Source organism: Homo sapiens, chromosome 8 (genome assembly GCF_000001405.40).
Source record: "Homo sapiens chromosome 8, GRCh38.p14 Primary Assembly".
Lineage (NCBI taxonomy): Eukaryota > Metazoa > Chordata > Mammalia > Primates > Hominidae > Homo > Homo sapiens.
The window spans coordinates 65108614-65124602 of record NC_000008.11 but is presented as its reverse complement, the minus strand read 5'-3'; the positions used below and the strand labels follow the sequence as shown (position 1 = coordinate 65124602).

Here is a 15989-nt window from a genome sequence, read left to right as displayed (position 1 = left end):
AGAGGGCATCCCTGTCTTGTGCCAGTTTTCAAAGGGAATGCTTCCAGTTTTTGCCCATTCAATATGATATTGGCTGTGGGTTTGTCATAGATAGCTCTTATTATTTTGAGATACATCCCATCAATACCTAATTTACTGAGAGTTTTTAGCATGAAGGGTTGTTGAATTTTGTCAAAGGCTTTTTCTGCATCTATTGAGATAATCATGTGGTTTTTGTCTTTGGCTCTGTTTATATGCTGGATTACATTTATTGATTTGTGTATATTGAACCAGCCTTGCATCCCAGGGATGAAGCCCACTTGATCATGGTGGATAAGCTTTTTGATGTGCTGCTGGATTCGTTTTGCCAGCATTTTATTGAGGATTTGTGCATCAATGTTCATCAAGGATATTGGTCTAAAATTCTCTTTTTTGGTTGTGTCTCTGCCCGGCTTTGGTATCAGAATGATGCTGGCCTCATAAAATGAGTTAGGGAGGATTCCCTCTTTTTCTATTGATTGGAATAGTTTCAGAAGGAATGGTACCAGTTCCTCCTTGTACCTCTGGCAGAATTCAGCTGTGAATCCATCTGGTCCTGGACTCTTTTTGGTTGGTAAACTATTGATTATTGCCACAATTTCAGCTCCTGTTATTGGTCTATTCAGAGATTCAATTTCTTCCTGGTTTAGTCTTGGGAGAGTGTATGTGTCGAGGAATTTATCCATTTCTTCTAGATTTTCTAGTTTATTTGCGTAGAGGTGTTTGTAGTATTCTCTGATGGTAGTTTGTATTTCTGTGGGATCGGTGGTGATATCCCCTTTATCATTTTTTATTGTGTCTATTTGATTCTTCTCTCTTTTTTCTTTATTAGTCTTGCTAGCAGTCTATCAATTTTGTTGATCCTTTCAAAAAACCAGCTCCTGGATTCATTAATTTTTTGAAGGGTTTTTTGTGTCTCTATTTCCTTCAGTTCTGCTCTGATTTTAGTTATTTCTTGCCTTCTGCTAGCTTTTGAATGTGTTTGCTCTTGCTTTTCTAGTTCTTTTAATTGTGATGTTACGGTGTCAATTTTGGATCTTTCCCGCTTTCTCTTGTGGGCATTTAATGCTATAAATTTCCCTCTACACACTGCTTTGAATGCGTCCCAGAGATTCTGGTATGTTGTGTCTTTGTTCTTGTTGGTTTCAAAGAACATCTTTATTTCTGCCTTCCTTTCATTATGTATCCAGTAGTCATTCAGGAGCAGGTTGTTCAGTTTCCATGTAGTTGAGCAGTTTTGAGTGAGATTCATAATCCTGAGTTCTAGTTTGATTGCACTGTGGTCTGAGAGATAGTTTGTTATAATCTCTGTTCTTTTACATTTGCTGAGGAGTGCTTTACTTCCAAGTATGTGGTCAATTTTGGAATAGGTGTGGTGTGGTGCTGAAAAAAATGTATATTCTGTTGATTTGGGGTGGAGAGTTCTGTAGATGTCGGTTAGGTCCGCTTGGTGCAGAGCTGAGTTCAATTCCTGGGTATCCTTGTTGACTTTCTGTCTCGTTGATCTGTCTAATGTTGACAGTGGGGTGTTAAAGTCTCCCATTATTAATGTGTGGGAGTCTAAGTCTCTTTGTAGGTCACTCAGGACTTGCTTTATGAATCTGGGTGCTCCTGTATTGGGTGCATATATATTTAGGATAGTTAGCTCTTCTTGCTGAATTGATCCCTTTACCATTATGTAATGGTCTTCTTTGTCTCTTTTGATCTTTGTTGGTTTAAAGTCTGTTTTATCAGAGACTAGGATTGCAACCCCTGCCTTTTTTTGTTTTCCATTTGCTTGGTAGATCTTCCTCCATCCTTTTATTTTGAGCCTATGTGTGTCTCTGCACGTGAGATGGGTCTCCTGAATATAGCACACTGATGGGTCTTGACTCTTTATCCAATTTGCCAGTCTGTGTCTTTTAATTGGAGCATTTAGTCCATTTACATTTAAAGTTAATATTATTATGTGTGAATTTGATCCTGTCATTATGATGTTAGCTGGTGATTTTGCTCGTTAGTTGATACAGTTTCTTCCTAGTCTCGATGGTGTTTACATTTTGGCATGATTTTGCAGCGGCTGGTACTGGTTGTTCCTTTCCATGTTTAGCGCTTCCTTCCTTTAGGGTAGGCCTGGTGGTGACAAAATCTCTCAGCATTTGCTTGTCTGTAAAGTATTTTATTTCTCCTTCACTTATGAAGCTTAGTTTGGCTGGATATGAAATTCTGGGTTGAAAATTCTTTTCTTTAAGAATTTTGAATATTGGCCCCCACTCTCTTCTGGCTTGTAGAGTTTCTGCCGGGAGATCTGCTGTTAGTCTGATGGGCTTCCCTTTGTGGGTAACCCGACCTTTCTCTCTGGCCGCCCTTAACATTTTTTCCTTCATTTCAACTTTGGTGAATCTGACAATTATGTGTCTTGGAGTTGCTCTTCTCAAGGAGTATCTTTGTGGCGTTCTCTGTATTTCCTGAATCTGAACGTTGGCCTGCCTTGCTAGATTGGGGAAGTTCTCCTGGATAATATCCTGCAGAGTGTTTTCCAACTTGGTTCCATTCTCCCCATCACTTTCAGGTACACCAATCAGACGTAGATTTGGTCTTTTCACATAGTCCCATATTTCTTGGAGGCTTTGCTCATTTCTTTTTATTCTTTTTTCTCTAAACTTCCCTTCTCGCTTCATTTCATTCATTTCATCTTCCATTGCTGATACCCTTTCTTCCAGTTGATCGCATTGGCTCCTGAGGCTTCTGCATTCTTCACGTAGTTCTCGAGCCTTGGTTTTCAGCTCCATCAGCTCCTTTAAGCACTTCTCTGTATTGGTTATTCTAGTTATACATTCTTCTAAATTTTTTTCAAAGTTTTCAACTTCTTTGCCTTTGGTTTGAATGTCCTCCCGTAGCTCAGAGTAATTTGATCATCTGAAGCCTTCTTCTCTCAGCTCGTCAATGTCATTCTCCATCCAGCTTTGTTCCGTTGCTGGTGAGGAACTGTGTTCCTTTGGAGGAGGAGAGGCGCTCTGCGTTTTAGAGTTTCCAGTTTTTCTGTTCTGTTTTTTCCCCATCTTTGTGGTTTTATCTACTTTTGGTCTTTGATGATTGTGATGTACAGAAGGGTTTTTGGTGTGGATGTCCTTTCTGTTTGTTAGTTTTCCTTCTAACAGACAGGACCCTCAGCTGCAGGTCTGTTGGAATACCCTGCCATGTGAGATGTCAGTGTGCCCCTGCTGGGGGGTGCCTCCCAGTTAGGCTGCTTGGGGGTCAGGGGTCAGGGACCCACTTGAGGAGGCAGTCTGCCCGTTCTCAGATCTCCAGCTGCGAGCTGGGAGAACCACTGCTCTCTTCAAAGCTGTCAGACAGGGACATTTAAGTCTGTAGAGGGTACTTCTGTCTTTTTGTTTGTCTGTGCCCTGCCCCCAGAGGTGGAGCCTACAGAGGCAGGCAGGCCTCCTTGAGCCATGGTGGGCTCCACCCAGTTCCAGCTTCCCGGCTGCTTTGTTTACCTAAGCAAGCCTGGGCAATGGCGAGCGCCCCTCCCCCAGCCTGGCTGCCGCCTTGCAGTTTGATCTCAGACTGCTGTGCTAGCAATCAGCGAGACTCCGTGGGCGTAGGACCCTTGGAGCCATGTGCGGGATATAATCTCCTGGTGCGCCGTTTTTTAAGCCGGTCTGAAAAGCGCAATATTCGGGTGGGAGTGACCCGATTTTCCAGGTGCGTCCGTCACCCCTTTCTTTGACTTGGAAAGGGAACTCCCTGACCCTTGTGCTTCCCAAGTGAGGCAATGCCTCACCCTGCTTCGGCTCGTGCACGGTGTGTGCACCCACTGACCTGCGCCCACTGTCTGGCACTCCCTAGTGAGATGAACCCGGTACCTCAGATGGAAATGCAGAAATCACCCATCTTCTGCGTCGCTCACGCTGGGAGCTGTATACTGGAGCTGTTCCTATTCGGCCATCTTGGCTCCTCCCTGCCTTCTACTTTTAAACTTCCTTGTAAGAAAACCTTTTTCGATTACCAATTGCATCCTGACTCATTCCAGTTACCTATTCCACCCTGACTCATTCTGATCACCTGCTCCACCCTAACTCATTCTGGTTACCTGCTACCTGCTGTGCCCTGACTCCTGCCAAGCACTCACCCCAATCATTCTCTTTAAATTAGCCAATCAGAATTAGTTTAGCCGGTGCGGTCTAACCCTAGCCAATAGGGGAAGGACACAGCAGCAGGGGCCATGTGGGTCAGGGATAAGAACCCCTTCTCCTCCCTTGTCCAAGTGTGTGCTCACCATTGCTCCATCTGTAAGGGCGCACCCTTCTATAGAAGTAACATGCCTTGCTGAGAATTAAAAAGAAAATTTTATATTCAAGTGCTATTTCTTTTGTGGCACCAAAACTTTATACATAATGCAGGAATGGGCTGCTTGGGGATCCAGCGAGCTCCCAGGGCTTTTCTGCTGCTTCCTCTACCCCTATATTTCACTCAGCTCGACTAACTGAGCTCCAGGTAAATTTGGGAACTTATCCTGCAAACAGACCTTCAATTTCTCTAGTGGAGGTGTGCGTTCAGGAGAGGAGGGTCTCCTTTTCCCACTTCTGCAGTTGGGGCACTCACAGTATTTGGGGTGTCTCCTGGGTCTTGCAAGAGCAGTCTGCTTCCTTCAGAGGGTGTGTGGGTCCTCTTTTGCTGGTTTGTTCTTGCTGTCAATCTGGAGCTCAAATTCACAATGCAAGCCTCCGTATGCTGCTGTGTCCAGAGCTGCAAGCTAGTCCTGCCTCCTGTCTGCCATGATCACCTCAAAACTGTCTTAAAAACAAGCATGTGGATGAAAAGAAAGCTTTCTCTAGAACAGACTATTTCCATGTAGCTGCCTCTTCACAGTGGTCATATTCTGTTGATCCAGCTACAGGGCATTTTTCAGACTCTTTGCAGGGCACTCAACTATTGGCAGAGGAGAACTGAGGTGTATCAGAGATTTTCACAATTCAACATGTTCCTGCAACCAACACCTACAAAGAGATAATCCGTTGTTTCAGAAAACTAGATAGACACAACTTGTACTCAAAAAGAACTATTCAATACATGTCATTATTAACTGGGGTCTCCAGGCTGCTTATTGGATTTCTAGAAATTACTCACCTTATAACTGTAAGTTAGTATGCTTTGACCAACATTTCCCCATGTTTTCCACTCCATTAGCCCCTGGTATACTTGAAATTTGCTAAGAAAATAAATCTTGAGTGTTCTCATTATTCTCATTACAACAAAAAAAGGTAACTATGTCAGATAATGGATAGGTTAATGAGCTTGATTGTGGGAATCATTACACAAGGCATATTTACATCAAAATGCAACATTGTGCACCTCAAATATATACAATTTTCTGTCAATTATGCTTCAATAAATACATGGGGAAAATACAATAAAATAAAGTATTAAGAAAAAAGAGCTATTTATGTGGGTTTATTAGCATCTGATCCACCTCTGTGACCCTCCTTCATTCTTACCTTCAGCCAACAGGTAGCACAGAGCTCCCAGATCTGGGTCAGTGTGGAAGTGGTCAAACAAGTTTTACCTCTAAACGTGACCAAAAGTTCCTGTTTTTATTGAGATAAAGTTTGGAATCAACAGGATGTGGTTGAGTTATATATTTTTCTTTTTCTTACAAAAACTTAGAAGCAAAGCTTAGAAATGTTTAAAGAGTAATCACTTTGTCTATTAATATGTGCATGGTGAATGCAGTTGTTTCTTCGTGTCCAGAGTCTGGAGAGGCCTTCAGAGGCCTTGGCCATGCCTCTTTCTCTGCTTTCTCTCATTGCCTAGCATTTAGCAGTTTCCTCTAGAGTTGGCCTGCAACCAGGGCACAATAGAAAAACTCAAACCAGTTCAAATTAATTAACAGATTTAAGGAAAAAGGTGAAGATATACCTAAAATTAAGTAAGTTTTATTTCTAGGATCTATTTGAATCCTAGAACCTAGTGTGGTTTTGTAAAATCACCAGACCAAAATGAAGAAAATGTACCTCCAAACCCTTTTGTAGCCAATTCTCTAGCCAAGTAATTGTTCTGTGGGTATAGTTTCCCTCTGTGTTAATAATATTACCTCACCAGCTCTATAAGAAGTGTTAGCTATACTTTTATTATCCTATAAGCTTTTATCACCTTATAAGTTAATTAGGAATTAAACACCCTGGAATGCAAGTTTGGAATTCTCTTCCCATTTTGACATGGTTTCCATCTTGAAAGGGGGGATAAGTTATTTAACTTAAAGTATTACTATTCCACCACACTAGTGGAGGAATAAATTTGCATGTGGGTGGTATTTGGGCACAATTTTATATTACATATTATTTTGACAACTCAGGTCTTAAATAATTTGTTACTAGTAAAACACACAAAGGATTTGAAACTCTCTGAAAAATGTGAAGGAACAGTTGAGGCTAAATTTGATAAATAAAGTGAGATCTGTGTTTTGACTATTTTATTGATATTTCACATTTGTCTCTCTTACATTCAACAATTACAAAAAATGTTGTGATTCAGACTGTATTTTGCAGATGACTAAAGAGTTTCAAGATACAATTTCAATTTTATTTATACGATTGCTATGTTGAGGCAAAACTGTAGTCAGTATTTTATCAAAATAGTATAATATCCACAATTGTTAACAGATTTCATTATCAGAAGATATACTGGGTCAGCAGAAGACATAGGAAGGGTGTTTATGGAGACCCCGGATATATAAATGAATTAATTATAAAAAATTAGTTATTATATAAATAAAAGCCTAATGTTGTTGGGGTAAAGAATATGAACATTTAGGGCTTTTTGTTCTTTGTTTTTGAGATGGAGTTTCGCTCTTGTTGCCCAGGCTGGAGTGCAATGGTGTGATCTCAGCTCACCGCAATCTCCACCTCCCAGGTTCAAGCGATTCTCCTGTCTCAGCCTCCTGAGTAGCTGGGATTACAGGCATGCACCACCATGCCTGGCTAATATTGTATTTTTAGTAGAGTCGGGGTTTCTCTATGTTGGTCAGGCTGGTCTCGAACTCCCGACCTCACGTAATCAGCCCACTTCGGCCTCCCAAAGTGCTGGGATTACAGGCATGAGCCACAGCTTCCAGCCTTATTTTTGGTTTTAATCTCAGTTGATCACTGGATTTTATATTGAACTATAGAGTAACAGAATAATCAAATTTTTGGATTTCCTGAAGAAATTATTATCATTTTTGGTCTTGTGAAAGGAAAGGTAACTGTCTTGTCTGTTTTGCGAATAAAGAGAAAAATGAGAATATGCACAGACATGGAAAAGGAGGCCATCCAGTTCAGAATTCAACATTCCAGTCTCTGTTTTCAGAAAGGACTTTCCCGTTTGGTGTGCCCTGCTCAACAGACTCAGAGCCTTAGAGAAGGAACTGAAGGTATCCTGTTCTCCAAATGCTTTCCATGTGTGGGTGGTGGCTTTGTGTGCCCATCTCTAGGTGTACCTTAAAATTCATAAAATGCTGCTAGAAAACAAACAAACAAACCTGCTCTTCTTTTAAACATATAGGTCTGTGTCATACTCAACTTTTCTGAATAGACTATAACTGCAAGCAATTTCCTCAGTTTCTTCCAGTGGCCAATGCAGGGGACCATTGACTTATGTGTGCCTTAGCCAGTGTGGTAGAGAAGAAATACCTCTCTGTACAAGGAAAGGTATTTTTTTAGCAGACGATCCTTTCATGTGCAGCATAAGAAGAACAAATACAATATTTTTCCCAACCTTCATTCTCTCCACTGCCAATCCATTTCCTCTTTCAAATGTATTAAATACTGTTAGAAACAATTTCATTTTACAAGATTTTGCTTTTTTTCAGTATGATTCTTAGGATTTGGAGGAATGGATGCCTGAAGACGGTAAGGCATTTAGATTTTCTCTTCCAGACATAATTAGCTTCATATATAGGAAGATGATACAAAGAAGAAAGGCCTGAATAATATGTGATAAGATATTTCCATTGAGTTGGAGAAAACATAAACCTTTCTAGGTGATAGAAATCTTCAGATAGTTATTGGTCTTTGGTTAGCTCCTGACTGATCAAAGTCATTTCAAAATGTTTCTCTACTACTTAACTTTATTAGATTGAGAACTATGCCTAGAAAGAATGCAACCTATTAAGAGAAAAATGAAAAAAAAAGTAGATATGGCATTAACACATTCAGAGCTGATAGAGTATGTTGCAAATTTTATGTTCTTACAAGTTCCCTTTGTCTTGCAATATGATGGATATTAGTTGGGAAATGCAAAAGTGAAGCATCTTGAAGACACATTATTATTCCTATTTTAATTGTTCAACTTATTTTAGATTATTAGACTTCAAAGTGCATATCTGAGCTACATGTACAATGAGTCTTACTTTATTATAAAGGGACCAGAATTTTTTTGGATTCAGAGAATATTTAAATGTAGAATACTGGGGTTAAATAATACAATGAGTTTTGGCATTAAGTAAAGAAACCTAAAGAATCAAAAGGCTAAATTTACATATACACATTCTTTCTTCCTATCCCAAGTTTGTAACATCAAAAATATAATTTTCTTTCTTTTTCTGCTTCTTATCAAAGGAGGAGAGGGCAAGGGAATGGAACAGGGGCTCAAGAAGATAGAGATGAGAACTGATTTTGGTTAAGGACAGAGACCAAGAACAAGGATTCCAAGTTGTAGTCTGGGCTCTAAAATTGGACGGTGATCTTTCATGAATTGTTCCTCTTCTAATCTATCGAGACAGCCGAGTAGAGAGGAAAGGATGAGAAGCTTCAGAAATATACCTTGATATGGTTTGGCTCTGTGTTCCTACCCAAATCTCATCTCGAATTGTAATCCCCATATGTGGAAGGAGGGAGGTGATTGGATCACGGGGGCTGCTTCCCCCATGCTGTTCTCGTAATAGTGAGTTCTCATGAGATCTGATGGTTTTATAAGCATCTGGCATTTCCCCTGCTTGCACTTCTCTTTCCTGCTGCCTTGTGAACAAGGTGCCTACTTCCCCTTCCACCATGATTGTAAATTTCTGGAGGCCTCCCTAGCCATGCTTCCTGTTAAGGCTGCAGAACGGTGGGTCAATTAAATCTTTATAAATCACCCAGTCTTCAGTATTTCTTCTTCTTTTTTTTGAGATGGAGTCTTGCTCTGTCACCCAGGCTGGAGTGCAGTGACTGATCTCAGCTCACTGCAACCCCCACCTCCCAGGTTCAAGCAATTCTCCTGCCTCAGCCTCCTAAGTAGCTGAGACTACAGGTGTGTGCCACCACGCCTGGCCTTTTGTATTTTTAGTACAGGCAGGGTTTTGCCATGTTGGCCAGGTGGGTCTCGATCTCCTGGCCTCAAGCAATCCGCTCGCCTAGGCCTTCCAAAATGCTAGGATTACAGGCAAGAGCCACCACACCTGGCTGGGTATTTCTTTATAGCAGTGTAAAAATGAACTAATACACACCTAGATTGAAATCCTCATTTCAGCTCTTACTTTCCATGTGACCTTGGGACAGGACTTAATCTTTTTGAGCCTTCATTTTAAATACGTGGATAACAATAGCTACCCTCCGAGGTGGTTGTGAGAATCCAAAGAGATTCCATTGGCAAAACACCTAATACACTGTTTGGTACCATGTATATACTTAATAAGTAGAGCAAATTATTATCTTCAAAGGAAGCTGTTAGGCCAAGTCCCTTTGGGCTGTAGTACTCTGGGATTCAGGAACTGATTGACAGGTATATAAATTTTGGTTCAGGAACAGGTAGTTTGCTAAGAGCCCACCCGAACCCACCACCATCTCATATGTGGCAGCCACATTGTGGCACAGACATTGACTCAGGTTAGTTTTGTGCCTAGCATGGAAGTAGGACACCTCAAAACTGCTCAAACACTTGGTTGCCTGAGCCACATTTTAATCATTCACCATGACTGAGTGACCTATTTTTTTTCCAAGGCTGCTATAAAATCAGAGATGGAAGCTAATACCGAATCAAAGCACTGTGGTTCTGTCATACATATTTTTTGGTATCCATCCAACCTTATTTTAAATATCTCTAGGGATGGGCTTTCATCACTTTTCTTGGAAGATGTTCCTTGTATAAAAATTTTCACTGTCAGAAAGTTTTCTCTCCCATTCAGGGTAAATTTTTCTTTCCTTCTTTATACTTGTCTAGTTATTTGTCCTAAACCTGATTAAATAATTCTCTCTGCCTGTTCAGTATTTCTCCTGTCAGATTTTTGTAGTCAACTATTAGTCCCCCCTCAGCCATTACTTAGCAACACCAGACATAGTCTTTATCTTTAATCATTTCTCATAACTCACTACTCCATCGCAATCATTATTCTCTCCTCTCTGAATTAATCCATCTGCTCTTTTGAAGGTAACCTTAGTGTCTTAGCGGCATGTTCCTTTGGAAGTAAAACACACCAGTGTACGCATTTATCTTAAATTTTTCTTTAAATAATATAACATTATAGACAGTTTTGAAAACAAAGGAAAAAAAATTAACCTGCTATCCTAACCCAATGGCTATTGTTACTTTTGTCTTTTCCACTTTTATCTTTTCAACTATAAATACCTTACCCTATTGAGTGGAAATTTTGTATCAAGGCTGTACTTAATTCTTCATGTGCAAGATCCCGGTTGCTACCATAGTGGCCCTGTGAGACAGCTTTATAACCCCCTCATCACAGATGAGGAATCGAAGAGTCAGAGAATTCAAGTAAGTTGCCAAAAATCTGGCTCAGGGAGGCTTCCTAACCATTATGCTATCCTGCCTATGCTATCTTTTACCATGTTGTGTCATAATAATGATGTTAATGGCAGGATACTGGATGAAAAATCATTAGGTAATCATTGCCCATCAAAAGTTCTTTAGAGTGCTTTCATTTTTTTCCTTATTACAAACATCACTGAAATAAAAGTTTTGAGCAATGAATATTCAAAATCAGAGGATTGTCTTATTTCACCCCTGCATCATAGTTTTAAAAATTTTTAAATCAAGAAATCATAAAAGAAAATGATAGATTTGATTAAATTAATTTCTAAAAAGTAAGTTCTTCCTGGCATAATATACCATAAATAAGATGGAAAGACAAATGATAAACTGGGACAAATTATCTGTAGAAAATTTGATAGGTAAATAATACTATTCCCAATATGCAAGAAGTTCATATGAATGAATTTTATTTATTTATTATTTATTTATTTATTTTTGAAATAGAGCCTCCCTCTGTCACCCAGGCTGGAGGGCAGTGGTGTGATCACAGCACACTGCAACCTCCACCTCCCAGGTTCAAGCGATTCTCCTGCCTCAGCCTCCTGTGTAGCTGGGACTATAGGTGTCTGCCGCCATGCCCAGCTAATTTTTGTATTTTTAGTAGAGACAGGGTTTCACCATGTTGGCCATGGTTGGCCAGGCTGGTCTGGAACTCCTGACTAAACACTTGAACTAATGTCCAACCATACTAGCAATTAACATAATTATCAATGCACTAATTTGACAGTAGTTTTTATTTATCCAATAGGCAACACCATAAAAAGATGACAATACCCAGTACAGGCAAGGCTATGGAAAAACATATTTTCTCGTATAATGCAGGTGGAATCAAAACTAGATGCAATTGTTCTAGAAGTTAATTTGCTATATATATTGAAGGTTTTGGCTTCTCCTCTTTAATGTAGCACTTCCTCTCATAGGCATAAGAAAAAACCTTAATGTGTGATTTGAGGTAAATTCCTCCAGGAATGCACTCTCTGGAGCCTAATCTGGTATAGGCAAGATTCAGGTAATGCTTAACAGATCAACATCATACTGCCTGGCTTCTGTGGAGAAGGAATGCTGTCTATTTTGTTATTATTATAAAGAGGATGGGTATATTGTGATAGATTTTACCCATGAGGACAGTCCAACTCTGACCCTCCAAAAATTAGGCTTAGAAAACAGAGACATATTTTGATCCACAGAGGAACGAAAAGTGGCACGCAAATCATCTATTTGCCATCTCACAGAGGAGGTGGGGCAGGCAGCCAAGCACTCAGCTGATGGAGCTCCAGCCCAGAAGGAAATCTGTGGGAGAAGGTGCAGTCTAGGAATGCCATTGCATTGCATTTTCCTAGGTGCCAGAGATGCAACAGAAACAAAACATGACCAATTTCCCCATGATGGTGCTAACTTGCTAGCAGTAACTCAGAGGTCGGTATCAACATGGGGCTGAATTGCTCTTCACAATTGAGATGTGTAGGGTGGATATGAAAATGTTAAAACAAATAAGAAGGAGGCCATTAGCCTGAGGTTGCCAGGTTTGGGAGTATTTTTTGTAACTGATGGAAAACAACAACAATAACAACAACAAAAATGAGATAAAATCTTGAGCCTCTGCTTGGGTCAACCAGCCAATTGATTATATAACTGGGAACCTCCTATCGGCCATATACAAATAAGGCAAGCACATTTATTGTAGCCAATGAATTCCTTCTGTTCAGTCTATGAAAACTCACTGCTCAGGCAGGTGGAGTGGAGCCCTCTGGACTTCTGGTTATGAATGCCGCCTGATTCATAAATCATTCTTTGCACAAATAAACTGTTAGATTTATTTTGTCTAAAGTTTTTATTTTAACAAAAGAGAATGGGAGATAGTGAAACTGGGAACAGCGTGGGGAAAAAAATGGGAAAGAAGTGGAGTGGGAGAGGGCTGGGAGGTACCCTGGACAGGAAATGTCATGGGAATTTGGGGTCAGATGAAGATGACCTGATAGATGGTGTGGGATGTAATTCCTTCCTGCATACTCTCAAATCATCTTTAAAATCTATCAAAAGTTAAAATTAAATGCTCCCTGAGGTTACATTTCATGTGGAAAGTGGTGATGGAACCCAAGTCTGCATTTTAATGGCTGGAGAGTGGAAGCAGCTACAGAGGGGGAGGTGCCCATCTGGGTAACATCTTCTCCACGTTGCATATGCCTACAGTGAGTTTAGAAAGCGTCTTTACGATATTACCTGTTTACCTCTGGGCAGTCAGGAACACTTTTCTTTATTAAACTTTTTAGCTTTAGCTTTTACAAAATAATTAGCTTGTATTATCTCTGTAGAAAGCAACAACATCGTAAAATTAGGTTTGCAATTTTGTGTTCTATCAACTCAGGTTTCTATGATGGTTCTAATTCTATCCCCTACCCTGCCCCAATTGAACATTCAGGTTTTATACTGTTTTTTTGTTTGTTTGTTTGTTTTTTTCAGAATAGGTTATTTGATGTGTGTGCCACTTTGTTCTGTTACATTGTTTACTACAAGATAATTTTCCTAATTTAACTTTTATGTTACAGTTCACAACTTTGCTAATTGCTCACTAGTATTCAATTTGGGGCTCCACAACTTAAGATGCATTTGGAAAAAATACTTTAAAGTGTTTTAATCCAGAAAAGTAAAAATGATTATGGAGTGAGGAAATAGGAACTATGCTGAAAGGTTATAGGAGATGAGCTCACTTAATCAAAAGATAGTAAAAGATATACTAAAAGATCTGTTTAATCCATTGAGCCTCACATTTTAGTCTCCATTTTTAAGGAATTCATCTGAATTTGAAACAATTCTTTAACTATTATTTTACAATGTTTCTTTTAAAAACTCTTGTTCTTTACCCTTATTTGTCTAATACTAACACTTAAGTATTCAATATTATAAGTTGCCTTGGATACAAAGTTTATGGTGCACATAAATAAATGAATGAATGATGACTCAAATGTTTTTATAATTAGAAAAGGCTGATAACCAGATGCTTTTATATTTAAACTAAACCAGAGAGTTTATATTTATGTATATATTTATTATAAATAAATATAAATATTTTATAAATAAATATAAGTATAAACTATTTATGAATATAAATTCTCTGGCTTAGTTTAAGTATAAAAGTATCTGGTCATCAGTCTATAAAAACATCTGGTTATCCTCTTATTTATTTATAAATATAAACAATCTGGTATTTATAAATGAATAAAAGGAAATTGCTCCAAACTGCAGCCTAAAGTATTTTGCTGTTATATAATGTGGAATACCAGCAATTATGTCTGTCCACTGTTAGAGTTGGGTTATCATCTCTCTGGTAGGAATCAGTGTGAGCCATTCAGCACATTCCCCAGAAGCTGCAAACTTTCTCCTGTGTGTCGCAGAATACTAGTCTTTCCCTGGAGCCCCAACTCTGGTGCTTGTCTTATGGAGAAAATTGTTAGAACTCTGCCCCTTTCCTATTTCTTTTTCTAGCTTTTTATGCCCTTTCCCACAATATTTTTATCAATGTACATTTTTAATATCTGTATTAGTCCATTTTCTACTGCTATAAATAACTGCCCGAGACTGGGTAATTTATAAAGGAAAGAAGTTTAATTGACTCACAGTTCAGCATGGCTGGAGAGGCCTCAGGTAACTTATAATCATAGTAGAAGGTGAAGGGGACACAAGGCACCTTCTTCACAAGGCTGCAGGAAGGACAAATGCCGAGTGAAGGGGAAAGAGACCCTTATAAAACCATTAGATCACATGAGATCTTACTAAATACCATGAGAACAGCATGGGGGAAACTGCCCCCATGATTCAATTACCTTGACCTTGTCTTTTCCTTGACACATGGATATTATGGGGATTATAATTTAAGATGAGATTTGGGTAGGGACATAAAGCTTAACCATATCAATGGTCTATGAGAAGGTCATATTCTTGTGTATGTGAAGATTGTTTAGAATTATTTATACCTAAAATTAATATTCAGTGTTTATTAAATTAACATTTAGATTTTAATAATAAACTGAGAACAGTCATCCACACTTTTTTCTGATTAAAGACGTTCCATAAACAACTAAAGTTGATGAAATAAAACTCCCTTCAACAGAGTTTAACTTACAACTGAGTTAACTTCAATTCTCTGAAATATTTAAACTCTTTATGTAACTTTTATTTTAAGATTGTGTACTTAAAGCCAATTATTCAATTATTTAAAGGAAATTACAAGGCTTATCTGTCAGAATCTCAATATACAAAAGTTGTATTAATTATGAATGCACTAATATTGAATTTAAAACAGAATATTAATATTTTGTGTTGGTTTATTTAATCAACTACTTACTTTTAAACCTTTCCAAGGTTGGAAATACCTATTAAGACAATAGTTTTATTATTTCATAAAATTAAATATATTATTCCCAACTGGTTGCATTACTATTCTAGTGGAAATAGGTACATCTACTTGATGGGGAGAGCTTGTCTTTCTGGATTTATTATCTATGGTGGGTAAAAAACTACCCCCAACTTAGCAGTATGAAACATATTTTATTAGGCTCCCAGATTCTATTGGTCAAGGATGACTTATCTCTGCTCTGCAGTAGCACAATGTCTGGGGCCTCAGCTCTGAGGACTGAAATGGTTGTAGACAGAAATCACCTGAAGGCTTGTCACTCTTACATCTGTGTCTGATCTGGGATGACTCTCAGGCTGGGTTCTGCTGGGATAGTTGATCAGAGTACCTACACATGGCCCCTTCATGGTGTTTCCTCTCTTAGCATGGCAGCTGAGTTCTGAGGGGGAATATCCTGAGGGGGAGCAAGAATTCCCAAAAACTAGGAGCTACATAGCCTTTCACGACCTGGCCTCAAACATTACGTGATATCATTTTGTTTTATTCTATTGGCCAAAACAGTCACAACTGCCCAGATTCAAGGGAAAGGGACATAGACCCACTTCTTAATAGGAAGAATGTCAAAAAATCTGCAGTCATTTTTCAAAATTTCCATGTTCCACTAGCCTTTTCTGAGAGATATATGAGACCATGGTCTGCAGGTATGCAGAGCCATCCTTCTCCCACCCAAATAGGAGTATTTTATAGTTGCTCTGGAAATAGCTTCCATGTTTATAACTATTAGAGAGAGATTTCACCATTCTCTAAGTTTAAGGCAATCAATTTTTTTCCATCGACTTTCAAAATGTTATCT

At 39.0% G+C, this 15989-nt stretch overlaps 3 annotated features.

The window, feature by feature from the left end:
• Positions 3434-3935: an enhancer, noted in NCBI's record as "H3K4me1 hESC enhancer chr8:66032903-66033404 (GRCh37/hg19 assembly coordinates)". NCBI's record gives its function as "activates a minimal SCP1, AML or CMV promoter by ChIP-STARR-seq in primed H9 embryonic stem cells {active_cell/tissue: H9 hESC(primed)}" and the evidence as "EXISTENCE:reporter gene assay evidence [ECO:0000049][PMID:30033119]".
• Positions 3434-4740: a biological region, named in NCBI's record as "CDK7 strongly-dependent group 2 enhancer GRCh37_chr8:66032098-66033297".
• Positions 3541-4740: an enhancer, noted in NCBI's record as "CDK7 strongly-dependent group 2 enhancer chr8:66032098-66033297 (GRCh37/hg19 assembly coordinates)". NCBI's record gives its function as "activates an origin of replication core promoter dependent on BRD2, BRD4, P300/CBP, MED14 and CDK7 cofactors, with strong dependence on CDK7, by STARR-seq in HCT116 cells {active_cell/tissue: HCT116}" and the evidence as "EXISTENCE:reporter gene assay evidence [ECO:0000049][PMID:35650434]".